The 16,473-nt window shown below is 36.4% G+C and overlaps 1 protein-coding gene across 2 annotated transcripts in view; it reads right to left on the bottom strand.

Annotated features, from left to right (window-relative positions):
* The window catches only part of CYP2C18 (cytochrome P450 family 2 subfamily C member 18), a 52,462-nt gene continuing 39,351 nt past the window's right edge, over positions 3,363–16,473 (bottom strand). For both annotated transcript variants that reach the window (NM_000772.3, NM_001128925.2), the window contains 3 exons: positions 15,020–15,207; positions 6,115–6,256; positions 3,363–4,290 (listed from right to left, as the gene is read on the bottom strand). In NM_000772.3, the coding sequence (NP_000763.1) occupies positions 4,109–4,290; positions 6,115–6,256; positions 15,020–15,207 (512 nt within the window). In that variant the 3' untranslated portion in view covers positions 3,363–4,108. The remainder of the gene's footprint in view (positions 4,291–6,114; positions 6,257–15,019; positions 15,208–16,473) is intronic.

Raw genomic sequence — 16,473 nt, 5'->3', positions numbered from 1 at the left:
ACAACAGCCACAAAAAGAATAAAATATCTAGGAATACAGCTAACCAGGGAAGTGAAAGAGTGCTACAAAGAAAACCACAAAACATTGATGAAATAAATCAGAGATGACAGAAGCAAATGGAAAAACATTCCATGCTAATGGATTGGAAGAATCAATGTTATTAAAATGGCCATACTACTCAACACAATTTATAGATTCAATGCTATTTCTATAAACTATCAATGACATTCTTCTCAGAATTAGAAAAAAACTATGCTAAATTTATATGAAACCAAAAAAGAGCCGGAATAGCCAAGGCAATCCTAAGCAAAAAGAACAAAGATGAAGGCATCACATTACCTGACTTCAAACTATACCATAAGGCTACAATAACCAAAACAGCATGGTACTGGTACAAAAACAGACACATAGGCCAATGGAACAACATACAGAGCCCATAAATAATGCTACACACCTACATCCATCTGATCTTCAACAAAGTCAACAAAAACAAGCAATGGGAAAAGGACTCCCTCTTCAATAAATGGTGCTGAAATAATTGGCAAGCCATATGCAGATGACTGAAAGCGGATCCCTTCCTTTCACCATATACAAAAGTCAAGATGAATTAAAGACTTATATATAAAACCTAAAACTGTAAACACCTCGGAGGATAATCTAGGAAATACCATTCTGGACATAAGGCCTGGCAAAGATTTCATGATAAAGATGCCAAAAGTGATTGCAACAAATGCAAACATTGACAAATGAGACCTAAATAAACTAAAGAGCTTCTCCACAGCAAAAGAAACTACCAACAAAGTAAAGAGACAGCCTACAGAATGGGAGAAAATATTTGCAAACTATGCACCCAACAAAGGTCTAATATCCAGAACCCATGAGGAATTTAAACAAATTAAAAAGCAAAAAATTAACAATCCCATTAAAAAGTGGGCAAAGAACATGAACAGACACTTTTCAAAAGAAGTCATACATACAGCCAATGAACACTTAAAAATGCCCAACATCACTAACCATTAGAGAAGTGCCAATCAAAACCACAATGACATACCATCTCACACCAGTCAGAGTGGCTATCATAATAAAAACTCAAAAAATAACAGATGCTAGCAAGACTGCAGAGAAAAAGGAATGCTTATAGACTCCTGGTGGGAATCTAAATTAGTTCAGCCACTTTGGAAAGCACTTGGGTGATTTATCAAAGAACTTAAAACACAATTACCACTCAACTCAGCCATCCCATTACTGGGTATATACTACCCAAAGGAATATAAATTGTTCTACCATAAAGACATATGTATGCATGCACATGTTCATTGCAGCAATATTCACAATAGCAAGAACATGGAATCAACTTAAATGCCCATCAATGGTATACTGGATAAAGAAAATGTGTACATATACACTGAGGAATACTACACAGACATAAAAAAGAACAAGATCACATCCTTTGCAGGAACATGGATGGAGCTGGCGGCCATTATTCTAAGAGAACTAACACAGGAACAGAAAACCAAGTAGTGCATGTTCTCACTTATAAGTGGGAGCTAAACATGGAGAACACATGGGCACAAAGAAGGGAACAAGAGACCCTGGGGCCTACTTGACGATGGAGGGTGAAAATCGAAAAACTGCCTATCAAGTACTATGCTTATTACCTGGGTGATGAAATAATAATCTGTATACTAAACTCCTGTGACATGAAATTAACCTGCATACCAAACCTGCACATGTACCTTGAACCTAAAAGTTAAAAAAAAGAAATAAACAACAAATCTGAGATTCCTCTGTGATCAATGTAGAGAGAAAAAGTATGTTTGTAGAGAAAAGTTACATCTGTTACTGGATTGTAGACCTGTGCATTGTTTTCTAGTTCTTGTTATCTATCTACAGACTAGACTAGATCCTGAATTCTTCTAGATTTCTCTAATCCCATTTTCTTCTATGAAATTAGTAAAACTGGGAACTGATCTGTTCCTGAAACCCTATAATCTGAAACTAGATTAATTTTAAGGGATGAGTCTCATTCCTGATGTGTGGAGCACACAGAAAATTTACCAAACCTCCCAATGCCCATAACCAGAGACATTCAAACTGCAAACCAGGATGAGAAGTTGATGGCTTCATGGCTTCATGCTATTGACAGCATTTCCCACAACACTAGAAAAAGACTCCATATCATAAGACTCTTATCACTATTAATGCCTATGATTTTCACTTAACTTAGAGAATCTTTAATCCACCTGGAGGGTAACTTCGGGCAACATTGCTAATACAACCACTGCTCACTCCCTGCTTTAAGCTCAACACAGTCATGGGATAGTAGTGTTGGTGAAAAAGTTGCTCTATATTATCTATTACTTCAATAAGGAAATGTCTGTTTTACTGCTAATACTACAAGTAATGTAGCTTTAATGTATACTTTTTATTTTTAAGCTATTTTAATACTTTTAATAGCCATTTCATATTTTCTTCCGTAATCTGCCCAATGAAATGACTTGTCAGGTTTCTACTACCTTGGAAGTTTTCCTGGCATATTGTTTATTACAAAACATGTCTTTTGCAGGAAAATTGAAGGATCTGGAGGCCATTATCATTAGCAAACTAACAGAAACAGAAAACTAAATACCACATGTTCTTGCTTATAAGTGGGAGCTAATTGATGAGAACTCATGAGTAAAAAGAAGGGAACAACAGACACTAGGGACAGCATGAGGGTGGAGGGTGGGAGGAGGGAGAGGAGCAAAAAAAAATCACTATTGAGTACTAGGCTTAGTACCTGGGTGATGACATAATCTGTACAAAAAACCCGTGACATGAGTTTACCTATATAACAAACCTGCATGTGTACCTCCTAAAATAAAAGTTAAAAAAAAGAGCAAGTTGTATAATATAATAATATGTGTAATATGAACTCATTATATTAAAGAACCACTATCAATCTCATATATACATGTGTATATATTATATGTAAATATACACCTATGCAGACATATGTGCGTGTGTGTTTATAAAACTATACACATGAGTTATCTTACAAATGCATGATAAGTATAAAGGACTTTCTCTTGGAGATGAGCTGGGAAAAGGTTAATGTGTCACTTCTCATTTCATACACTTCAAGACAGAAGGAAGGAAAAAAGATGACTAGAATTTGATGTGTATGATTTGTTCACTTGTTTAAGCTTTAGAGTTGACATAAGGCTAATAATTTCAGGATCATAGCATCTAATTACCATTGCATTTATGTTCAGTAAAATAAAAGTATGCAGTGCAAAATAGAAAAAAAATAAAGCCTGGTGAGGATTTCTGGAGATTTTGCTCTTGTTTGGAAGAGAAAAATAACAGTCATTAACACATGATTAGCCATATGAAAGCATATATTTAGACATGATCTAAGTTGGAAACACAAAGGAAAAAGATTATCCAAATCTTGATCTTGTGTTTACAGTAACACAAAAGCAGAGCATGAATTCAAACACTTAATGTTCATCCCTCTTATGGATGATTGTTCCAGTATTTCCCTACAGGTTACAGCTGCTCCTGGACATAGTTTTTTTTTCCAAATTCAGACCTCCAATAACTCTAGGTGGCATTTAGCTAAAACAGCTTTCCTACCCTCTTACCTTTCTCCCTTTTTGTGCTTAACACTATGAGGGCCAGCACAGCCTCTTCACATTCTATTTTCTTTCATTTCTTACTTTCATTTTACTCAAAAGAAAGAAATCTAAGAACTGACCCAGTAAATAATAATCATTTTTATCTAGAGCATGCAGAGAATAAATGGCTCTGAATTGTCATTTATTAATCATTTTTCTTTGTTTTCTAGTGATAACATACTGACAACTCAGCAGTAGATAGGTATTAGCATATGTGGTGGTCAATACAAGTGATACAGAGTATGGAGAATAGCAGATATATTTAGGAAGTGACCCAAGAAACTCTCTTTAATGGAGGTTGGATGTTCATTGGATCTTGAGGGAATGGGAAGATGTGGATTGACAAGTCAGAGAAAATATCCCTCACAGAGAGAAGGGAGAGGCCAATGGCCCTGATAAGGGAGAATTGCAGGTGACAGCACAGGAGCAGCCAAACTATCTGCCCTTCTTCAGACAGGAATGAAGCAGAGCTGGTACAAGGGTGGCACACGACCAAATGCATTGGCAATGGGGGTGATGTCAATATCCTTTGGGTCAACCTGAGATTTCAGGTTAAAGTTCTGCAAAATGGTGGTCAGGAATAAAAACAGCTCCATGCGGGCCAGGCCCTCTCCCATACACATCCGTTTTCCTGAAAATAAGAGACATAGGGGATTTGTTCCTTGAACATTAGGTCATGAACAGTCACAAAGAGTATGCAGTAACTATTTGATAAATGATTAAATAGATGGATGGATCGAAGGCAGAATGACTGGAAGGATGGCTGGATACACAGAAAAACAAAAATGAATACACTTCCTATCTACTTAATATCTTATTTTACTAGGCACCCTTCACTCAACAAATATTTATGGAGTATCAGCTCTATGCCATGCACTTCACTAAGTGTTCCCACGTTATAACTGCTCTTTTGACACTACAAGTTTCCATCAGTCTTTTTCTAGAAATGCATTCACAGGGAAGATGGGCTGAAAAGAGAAGGCTCATATAGTGTGTTCCCCTTTGTACTTCTGGCACAATGTTTAGCCAAAGATTTTTTTTCCTAGTGTACTTTCAAAAGTACATGTCTAAACATGTCAGTCTCTCATTTTACAACTTTAAACAACACCCATCTGTCCTATGGGATAAAGGCCAAATGGCTTGACCTGACTCTTCACATTCTGTTCCCAGTCTGATGTTCTATATCACTCCTTCCATTCTTCATCTCCTCCACTCTCAGCTCTAGGCATATCCATTCTTCATCAATTTCCAACACACCACAAAGTTTCAAGCTTTATCTCTTGCTGTCACATCTGCCTAAAAAGCTCTACTCCTATGCTTCCTTCAGAAGCTATGCCCCATGTCATTTCCTCTTTATGATTTCTGTGATCCCTAGTCAATAGAAACTCACCCTCTCTAGGTTTCCTCATCATATTCATGCTTCCACTGGAGCATAGATCACCGGGAATTCTATTATCTGTGTATTTACTTTTCTATCTTGCTAAAACGTGAAATCCTTAAAAGAAGGCCTTAGTTCTTGACATCTCAGTGTATACAGTGCCAGATCCAAAGCAGGGATCAAAAGCCAGAGGAAAAAATGAAGGGAACTCTATGTCCACAGACTCACCACACACTTTAGCTGTAGAGATTGAATATCCAAGATGTATGATCATGAGTGGAGGGAGATCAAGGTGCTCTGGAATTATTGCAGACTATCCTTCCACATTCCCAGGGTTTTCCTGACCCTGAAATTTGTTGGTAGGTTCTGACCCCCTAGATCTACAGAAAATGTCCTGCTACTATGGTCCATTACCTCTGTAAAAGTGCCTTGCCTTCTCTTCTTGTCCTGTTTCCTGCTGCAATGAGGCAGCTTAAGTTTCCTTCCTCTTGGAAGTGGTATGGCCTATGAATGAGCAGGAAGCAGGCAGATTCCCCCACTGAGCTCCCCAACATCCTGCGCTTTCCCCTCTGGCAGCCTTCCTCCTACTAGATTACAATGATCTGTTTACTTGTCTACTTCTCTAAATCAGGAGTGAGCCTCTTAAGAGCCCATTCTCTGCTCTCAGATACTTGTATCTCCAGAGCTCAGTCTAGGGAGCTAGGGACACCACAGGGAAGATATTCAAAGTTGTGGAATTAGATACTTTTCTCATGGCAGATGAGAAATGTCTAAATAAGTTTCACCCATTAAGAAGAGCTCTTGGGTAGCTCAGTGATGTATCTAGAGGCAGAATTAAATTAACCTACATTCTAGCTTTTTCAGTTTGAAAAACTGGATCAACTCCCCAAAGCCCCACTAACCTGGCCCAATAATGGGGATGTTCATCAGCAGGGAAATCGCATGGGCATAGGGAATGGTGCTAATGATCTGCAAAGCAATTCAGCCAAACCTCAGAGGTGGCATCATGTAAGAGTCAACTGATCCCAAAAAGGTATCATGTGCCCTGAAGGACAGATGGAAATGAATATCTATTACCTGCTGAGAAAGGCATGAAGTAGTCACTTTTCTTAAAGTTGCCACTCTTATCCAGAAAGTGGCCAGGGTCAAACATCTCTGGGTTGGGGAATTCTTTGTCATTGTGCAGCACAGAAGTCAGGGATGTTATTATGGTCGTGCCCTGAAAATAGCAAAACAGACAAACTAAGTTATAAAGAAGTCAAAGAGTGGGAAGAAGTGATGGAAATCACCTAGTCCAATCTCTTTTATCAATAGATAAGAAAATTGAGGTCCAAAGAAGTTACATTCCCACCCAGACAGACCTAGTAAGAAGCAGTATGACTTTAAGGCAAGTGGCAGTGACTTTGCTGAAGTCCCCTCCAATTAATTGCACTTGAAGTCCTGAGCATTTGAGTACTCGGGGGCAGCCTTCTGAATCCCGGTTTATCATCAAGCTTGGACCCTGGTGTACATCCCCACTTGCTGCTGTATTTCATCACTTCAGTTTTCACACACCTCACACATGGATTACCTTTTTTGTTGTTGTTTGCAGGACTGTTACATGGGTATATTGTGTGATGCTGAGGTTTAGGGTACAAATAATTCCATCACCCGAGTAGAGAGCACAGTATCCAACAGGTAGTTTTTCAACCCTTCCTCCCCTTCAGCCCCCATCTAGTAGTCCCCAGTGCCTATTGTTGCCATCTTTATGTCCATGAGTACTGATGTTTAACTCCTCCTTGTGAGAACGTACAATATTTGGTTTTCTGTTCCTGCGTTAATTCACTCCAGCTGCATCTATGTTGCTACAAAGGACAAGATTTCATTCTTTTTTATGGCTGCATAGGGTTTCCTGGTGTATTTGTACCACCTTTTCTTTATCCAGTCCACTGTGGATGGGCATTTGGGATGATTCCAATCCTTTGCCATTGTGAATAGTGTTGTAATGAATATACAAGTTCACATGTCTTTTTAGTAGAATGATTTATTTTCTTTTGGAAATATATCCAGTAATGGGATTGCTGGATCAAATTGTAGTTCTCTTTTAAGTTCTTTGAGAAACCTCCAAACTGCTTTCCACAGTAGCTGGACTAATTTACATTCCCACCAAGAGCCTATAAGTGTTCCCTTTTCTCCACAGCCTTGCCATCATGCATTGTTTTTTGACTTCTTAATCATAGCCATTCTGACTGATGTGAGATGGTATCCCATTTTGGTTTTGATTTGCATTTCTCTGATGTTTAGTGATGTGAAACATTTTTTCATATGTTTATTGGCCACTTGTATGTCTTTTGAGCAGTGTCTGTTCATGTATTTTACTTTTTAATGGCATTATTTGTTTTCTGTTTGTTCAATTGTTTAATTACCTTATAGGATATTAGACCTTTGTCAGATGCATAGTTTGCAAATATTTCCTCCCATTCTGTAGGTTGTCTGTTTACTTTGTTAATAGTTACTTTTGTTATGCAGAAGCTCTTTAGTTTAATTTGTAACTAAATTATCAATTTTAAGTAACATATCAATTTTTTTTCATTGTGATTGCTTTTGAGGACTTAGTCATGAATTCTTTCCCAAGGCCAATGCCCAGGATGGTGTTTCCTAGGTATTTCTTTTGCAATTCTTATAGTTTGATGTCTTACATTTAAAACTTTAATCCATCTTGAGTGCATATTTATATATGGTGAAAGGATGGGGTCCAGTTTCATTCTGCATATGGCTAGCCTGCCATCCCAGCATCATTTATTGAATAGGGAGTCTTTTCCCATTGCCTGTTTTTTGTCAGCATTGTTTAAGATTAGATGGCTGTAGGTATGCTGCTTTATTTCTGGGTTCTCTATTCTGTTCCATTGGTCTGTGTGTCTGTTTTTGTACCAGTACTACGCTATTTTGGTTACTGTAGCCTTATAGCATAGTTTGAAGTCTGGTAGCGTGACGACTCCAGCTTTGTTCTTTTTGCTTAGGTTTGTTTTGGCTATTCAGGCTTTTTTGTTTCCATATAAATTTTAGAAGAGACACTGGTAGTCGGATAGGAATAGCATTGAATCAGTAGATTGCTTTGGGCAGTATGGCCTTTATTTTTTTATTTTATTTTTTTTTTGAGACAGAGTCTCACTCTGTCACCCAGCCTGGAGTACAATAGTGTGATCTCTGCTCACTGCAAGCTCCACCTTCCGGGTTCACGCCATTCTCCTGCCTCAGCCTCCCAAGTAGCTGGGACTACAGGCACTTGCCACCTTGCCTGGCTAACTTTTTGTATTTTTAGTAGAGATGGGGTTTCACCATGTTAGCCAGGATGTTCTTGATCTCATGACCTTGTGATCCGCTGGCCTTGGCCTCCCAAAGTGCTGGGATTATGGGCATGAGCCACCGCACCTGGCCCAGTATGGCCATTTTAACAGTATTGATTCTTCCAATCCATGAGAATGGAATGCTTTTCCATTTGTTTTTGTCATCTATGATTTCTTTCAGTAGTGTTTTGCAGTTTTCCTTAAAGAGATCTTTCACTTCCTTGGTTAGATGTATTCCTAGGGATTTAATATTTTGTGGCTATTGTAAATGGGATTGCGTTCTTGATTTGGCTCTCAGCTTGAACATTATTGATATACAAAAATGCTATTGATTTTTGTGCATTTATTTTGTATCCTGAAACTTTACTGGTCATTTATCCCTTCCAGAGGCCCTTTTGGAAGAGTCTTCAGAGTTTTCTAGGTGTAGAATCATATCATCAGTGAAGAGAGATATTTCGATTTATTCTTTTCCTATTTGAATACGTTTTCTTTCTTCCTCTTGCCTGATTGCTCTGGCTAGGACTTCCAGAAGACAGTTTTTAAATAGAAGCCTCTAAACATACCTGGTCTTCATTAATTCCTCTTTGGAACTGGGAAAGAGATCCCTGTGGCTATTAAAAAGTGGGGAGGGTTCTTATACACCACTAATTATGAAGCAAAAGGTTTATTTACTTAAAATGTCATTTAAAGATACTTAAACTGCATGCAAACTTTATTTACTGTACAGAGTTCTGGATGTATTTATCAAACAGAAAAACCACCCTTGACTTGGTTGTTCACCTGTTTTGTGATTTCCCTTGAAAAGAGAAATGAATTGTCATAGCTATTGATATTTTACTAGGTAATGTTCTGTTACACTGAAAGGGATGTTTTTAAAAAACATTATTTGGAAACAAGTTTTCAAGTAGGGGGACAGTTGCTTACATAATATCTTGTATATTCACATCCTAAAAATTTTCATTTATGAGTATGGGATGTGTATATATGACTTAGCCCCAAGTTAACTGTGCTGATTAACAAGTACTTATAAAAATAGCTAAAATAGAAAATTAATGATCAGTTGTACTAGAGGAACATCATAGAAGAGAAAAATCCAACTCTTTATATTAAAAATGAATACAATAAGAAAACTGCAAAAGAGACCAAAATGAACGTGTTTTGTAAATTGTTACAGGAGCAAAAACTTCTCAACTAGTTTTCAACATACTTTAGATTTAAATGTTGTTTGGACAGTTTTGTCTTCAACTTGGACCAGTTGTAGATTGTTACAGGCTTCCTAGGATTTAGCATTCCTATTTTCTCTACCAAAGTTTTTTTAGAAGCATCCCAACTCTTCTCTTTGTTGATAAATAAGCCTTTCCTGTCATCTTCATTTTAACTTGCTAAAACCCTAGATACAAAAGTCCTCCCTCATTTTTCCCACGCAGCCCCTGTTTGGGAATTTGAGATTCTGGGTCATGCTGGTGTTCCTTTCAGAAGTGCTTGAAATTGAGTTCTCTTAGCCACTGGACACCTAGTTTTCAGAAGAATGTCCCAAGATTGTTTATATATACAAAATGGCAAAATTACTGTTTTTCGAATTGATAATTCAAGCAAAAGGCTTCTCTTTACCATCACTGGTTTTTTTTGTTTTTGTTTTGTTTCCTTGTTTCTATTTCCTTGAAGCTTTGAAGGGAGGAGAAGCAGAAAATTTTGTTTTTGTTTTTTAAAAATCAGAACTACTTAATGCTTTTTGCCACAGCATATTTCCTTGCCTGTTGGAGCTGTTAGGAAGATTACCCATGTCCTAATCTTCAACCTGAGAAGATTTTTGACTCTTGTGTCTACTGTTGATTATTTTCTTGAGTTCTCAAAGACCTGTGGCCAGGTATTTTAAAAAGTCATCTGTTTCTTTCTAGTTGCATCAACTTGCACACTGGTGTCTACCTATATGTGGTATTCGGAACTTAAAATTCTTATTGAGCAGCCATTGCCTATATTTTCTCAGCTCCTCACTGACTTCTTTATATGAGCTCAGCTGACAAGCGAATACAGCTATTTGGTTGCCCTCTCTTCATACTGGACCATCAACAACAGTGTTCTAACTCATCCATGATGGTCTGTGAGATGCAGACTATTACACAAGATTCAAGTTACTCGTAAGCAACTTTTAGATAGAGTTGGTCCTGTTAGGAGGAGACTCTTGATGTCACCTTCAGTATCTTGAAAGCGGGTCCCCTCCCGAGGCTCTTAATTTTTGGAAAACTTGATGCTGTTTCAGCTGAAAAATTAGCAAGACTGTTAAAAAAACAAGTTGAGGGGAGCTGTTTAAGAAACTGAAAAGTAATTGCAAACTACATTGGGTAATTGTGACTTTCAGTTGTTGTTCTGTATCAGTTGAATTTTTGTGCTCTTTTCCCTGTGTACATGGTGGTTCTATCTCCAATAAAACTTTTGTTAAAAAAAAAAAAGTGAGGAGAATTTGGAATCTGTTCATAGGGTTTTTTAAAATGGAGGTCTGATCTAATTAAAAATGACTTCTGAGATGATATCAACAAGTACACTAAAATTTATTGAGGGGTTGATCACAGAAATGCTATATGTTTCTTTTAGTTAAAACACGTGGGGGAACTCTTCATCAGAGATGAATCCAACCTAAAAAACACAGAAGGAAGGATAAATTTAGAAAAATCATCATTTTTGCAGCCATTCAGGTAGGACCATAGATTCGGGCAAGGATCATCAATTAACTTTAAAACTACTGGGTAAATTATTTGGGAAAGTAATATTCACAGGATCTTAAAGTACCATGCCATCTTTTTATTAACTGCATATGAAAAACAGAACCCCAACAATGGAGAGACCTAGCAGATACAGGCTTACAAAATGTGGACCGCACATATGATGCAATGGCACGTATATAACATCACCTATGTAACTTTCTTGCCAAAAACACATAACTGGAATCTAATTGTCAAAAAAAAATTCTAACAAAACCAGACTGAGCAACATTTTACATAACAAGGGGACAGGACTTTTAAAAACTGTCAGTGTATTAAAGTGAAACAAACTAAAAAAAACTGTTCGTGATGAAGAAGGATTAACAAAACAAGATAACCAAATTAAAAGCTTGTTCCTTGACTGGACTACAGGAAGTCCATCAAAAAAAAGCTATAAGAGATATTTTAGTATAACTGGGAAAATGTAGTTATAAGATATTAGATAATATTAATGTATTGATAATAATTCCTTGAGTGTGAATGTTATTATTATTATGTAGGAGAAAGTCCTTGTTTTTGGGAATTATATACTGAAGTACTTAGGTGTTAAATGTGACAGATTAGATTACATAGGTAGATAGATGATAGATAAATGCAGATAAATGTATAGATTAAAATGTAGATGTATGCACATTTCCATATATTATATGTATACTATATACCTACACACACATATATTCATTCTAGAAAGATATTATGCTACATAATAGTTGCTACAGATTTTCTAACACTCCCAGTAATGTGGAGAGTGGGGAGATACCATATAATTGAATACATGATATTTCTTTTCTTTCCTCTTTTTTTTTTGTTTTTTTTGAGACAGGGCCTTGCTCTGTCACCCAGGCTGGAGTACAGTGGTACGACCATAGCTCACAGCAGCGTCAACCTCTTGGACACCAGCAATCCTCCCACTTCAGCCTCCCAAGTAGCTGGGACTACAGGCACATGCCACTACACCCAGCTAATTTTTTTATTTTTTGTAGAGATAGAGTTTCACTATGTTGCTCAGGCTGGCCTCCAGCTCCTGGGTGCAAATGATCCTTCCACTTTGGCCTCCCAAAGAGCTGGGATTACAAATGGGAATCTCCACACCTGGCCTTTTCTTTAGCAAAACATTAATATTTATACAAAGTATGATAAATAAGGAAAATAAATACATTCACTCCACGCAAGTAAATGTTTAGCCAAATGAAATTACACCCACCTTAAATGGTTTTTAACTACTCAGGCTTTTAATATTACATAATTGAGAATGAGATATTTCTAACCCTGTATTACAGAAAATTAAACAATCAGATATGTGTTCTGTAGCACGGTAGCCATGAATGATCCATGGCTATTTGTATTTAAATTTAAAGTAATGAAAAGTAAATAAAATTTTAAATTCATTTCCTCAGTTGCATTCATTACACTTCCGGTGCTCAATAGGTACCTGTGGCTAGTGGATTCCATATGGCACAATACAGACATTCAGAATTCCCTCTTCCCTATAAGATGGCAATAGTGATTTCAACCTTATCAAACTCCAATCCTTTTTCCTCTCAAAGTTAAATTTTCATTATTTTATTTCTTTATAATGGCAATATGTACTCGCTTCAAGTGGAATGGAGCAGCTTGCAGAATAGCAACTAAAAAGTCTCAATAAACACAGAAACCATGTGTTAGAAGGCACTGGAAAAGATGTTGAGACAAAAATTACTCAGGCTTGCAGGCATGGGGGAACTCAGAGAGGTTACAGTCAATTTTTGATGGCTACAGTCAATTTTTGACTGTGTTTCGTATGTTTATTGTGGCACTATTCACAATAGCAAAGACTTGGAACCAACCCAAATGTCCATCAATGATAGACTAGATTAAGAAAATATGACACATATACACCATGGAATACTATGCAACCATAAAAAATGATGACTTCATGTCCTTTGCAGGGACATTGATGAAGCTGGAAACCATCATTCTCAGCAAACTATCACAAGATCAGAAAACCAAACACCGCATGTTCTCACTTATAAGTGGGAGTTGAACAATAAGGACACAGGGAGGGTAACATCACACACCAGGGCCTGTGGGGGATGTTGGGGCTAGGGGAGGGATAACATTAGGAGAAATACCTAATGTAGGTGACAGGTTGATGGGTGCAGCGAACCACCATGGCACGTGTATACCTATGTAACAAAACTGCACATTCTGCACATGTATCCCAGAACTTAAAGTATAATAAAAAAAAAATTGAAAAAAAATTTTTTTTGACTGTGTTGATATCTAATTCTGAATGAAGGTAGAAGGTGTTGCATAATTCTGTCTGCCTAGCATGGGAGGGATGAACCCTTTCTGGAAGAAGATGAACCTCATCTGACATTCTGCATTTTTTCATACATCATAACTGGCACTTAACCAAAATTTATGAGTCACTCCAAAGACAGAACTAAGTGAGCACAAAAAGAATAGAGAAGGGAGAAAAGATTATAAAAACAACCACAATACAGAACATTATCTTCCTTATTTTATGAAGCCAACATTTCCTCAATATCAGAAATCTGACAAGAAAATTTTGAGGAAGAAAAATTGCAAACCAATGTCTCTTGTAAATATAAGTTCAAACATCCTGAAAATCATAGCAAATAAAACCCAGCTGTGTATGTCTCTGTGTGCACATTTGTGTGTATTTTAACTAATATATATATTATATCTATAGACAGGACAAAATATATGGCCATATCGATTGATGCAGAGACTCCATTTGATCAAATTGTATACACATTCAAGACCAAAAAAAGTCATCAAAAGTAGAAGGCAACCTTCTCTAATCTGATTTTTTACTTATGAAAATATACATAAAACATCATTCTCACTGGTGAGATGTTAAATCTCCACCCATCCTGAACATCATATATGAAACAAGGATGCCCACCATCATGATTTATTCAACGCTGTCCTGGAAATCCTAACCAGTGAAATAAAACAATAAAGAGAAAACTGAGTTATAAGAATTGAAAAATAAGAAATAAAATAAATATTAAAAGAGAACACAGAATACATAGAAATTACAAATAAATTTACAAACAAAAAATTAGCAATGCCAAGTAAATTTGCTTGATGTAAGGTCATCAAAATAATAAAGTCAATTATATTTCCATGTACCAGAAACAAAGAAATGGAAAAGGCATTTTTTTTAAAGTATATTATTTAAAAGCCAGGTGCAGTGGCACACATCTCTAATCCCAGCTACTCAGGAGGAAGAGGTGGAGGATTGCTTGAGCCCAGAAGATCAATCTGTGCAACATAGCAAGACTCTGTTTTGAAAATATATTTTTAATATTATATATATTTATTTCATATTATATATATTTTATATTATATATTAAATACACAACTTACAATTACATAGAAATATCATTTCAGAAAAAAAACGTAATACATGAGAAAGCCACTGAACTGAAGACAAAACATTACTGACACAATAGAAGAAAGCCCAAATAAATAAAGAGCATAATCATATCCATGAATTGAAAGATTCAACCTGTCAGGACATCAATTATTTCTAAATTGATCTAAAGATTTAATGTCATCATGATAAAAATCCCAGCACAGTGTTTTGGGAAATTGACAAAATGATACTTTCAACACTTACTTGGAAATGTAAACAACCTGAGAATAGCCACAAAAAAAAAATACTAAAGAAGCAGAACAAATTTGGAAGACATACACTGCTAGATACTGAGACCTGTTATAAACCTTCATAGGCCCAAACTGGAATGGAAACAGCAGAGTCCAGAAAGCTGCCCCACGTATGAATTTTACACTTCTCTCATCATGTGTTGTTAGAGGATTGGGACTATACTATGAATTTGGGGACTTGAAGAGCATGGAGATGTAGTGTAGGAGAAACAAGCTTACCTTGGGGATGAGGTAGTTTTTGAATTTAACATCACAGGTCACTGCATGGGGCAGGTTGGTGGGGAGGAGGTCAATGTATCTCTGGATCTCGTGCACCACAGCATCTGTGTAGGGCATGTGACTCCTGTCCTGCATACAGGGGCTCCGGTTTCTGCCAACTACACATTCAATCTCTTCCTGGACTTTAGCTGATAAGACACAAGTAAGAAATGATGGAAAAGGAGGAAAATGGCACATTTGTTGTAGCAATTCAGGTTACAAGAAGCATAAGGAAGGGGTCCCAACATCATTATAAACTTATAGGACTGAAAGTACACCTAGACTTAGGGAAGAAATTACTACATTATAGATACATCCAACTCTCCTACAAGCTAAGTATTAAGATAAATCTGTAACCACCTACATATTAGCATACAAGATAATCAGTACAAATATAAATGATAAAATACTTCAAAATATAAATATTTAGTACATTATAAACTCAAGAAATTACTGTTCTTGAAGAAAGAAAAAAATCAAATTAATGTTGTATCAGAATAACATATAATGTTTTAAAACTTTAATTCTACTAACAGATCTATATGTATGGATGGATTTGTGTATTGTGTGCATATGTTTATTTGAAACTTGAAATGATATTCTCTCTCATCCTCACACTCCACAAAGGTGACTATGTTGAAACATTCTAGAAGTTTCTTCTGAAGTTTATATTCATATTTCTAAATACTGACTCTCTTTTTATTTTTTAATTTATCTTTGAAAATTTCTAAAACCTCATGGTAAGAAAGATGAGGACTTATATCTCCATCATCACCCCATAACAAATAGACACACACCCACAAACAGAAACATGCACACACATTCACACTTCCCCCACTCTAGTTTCCCCAATGTATTTATATCACATTTTTATTATATTAATACTCATGTTCACACCATTATTATTTCATAAACATTGACCACAAGTGGGACAGCTGTAATTATGTCTCTTTTTTGTATATTCTTGGACTTGTGTGTCCATTTCAATTCTAATTTTCATATGCCAATTTAGAATTACTGCAAATGCTCAGAAATGTTTCAAACTCTTACTAATAATTTTCTAAACACTAAAAATAATCAAATAATCAATCAACTTTTCTTTGCCCTTAATGTCTTCCCTCACACCTCCATGATCCACCTGGTCCATTCTAAAGCATTTGTTTTCTAGACCTGGTATCCAGCAGCCTCCCTGACACTTCCATCCTCCTACATGAGATCTCCTGATCCCTGCAGCCCATGATTTCCCCTGAATTGGTTTCAGACATTTGGATGGAAAATATTCTCTAGTATCTTTCTAAGAAAATAAACACAAAGGGCAAAAATTTTTTGCCAAATGCAGATCTGAAAATATTCTTTATCTACAAATACACAAGATGACAGCTGCTCTTGAGAATTCTAATGCCATTCTGATTCCT

The sequence above is a fragment of the Homo sapiens genome, chromosome 10 (genome assembly GCF_000001405.40).
Source record: "Homo sapiens chromosome 10, GRCh38.p14 Primary Assembly".
Classification (NCBI taxonomy): domain Eukaryota; kingdom Metazoa; phylum Chordata; class Mammalia; order Primates; family Hominidae; genus Homo; species Homo sapiens.
Note: the sequence above shows the minus strand (reverse complement) of the source record. Positions and strands in the feature narration are given on the sequence as shown.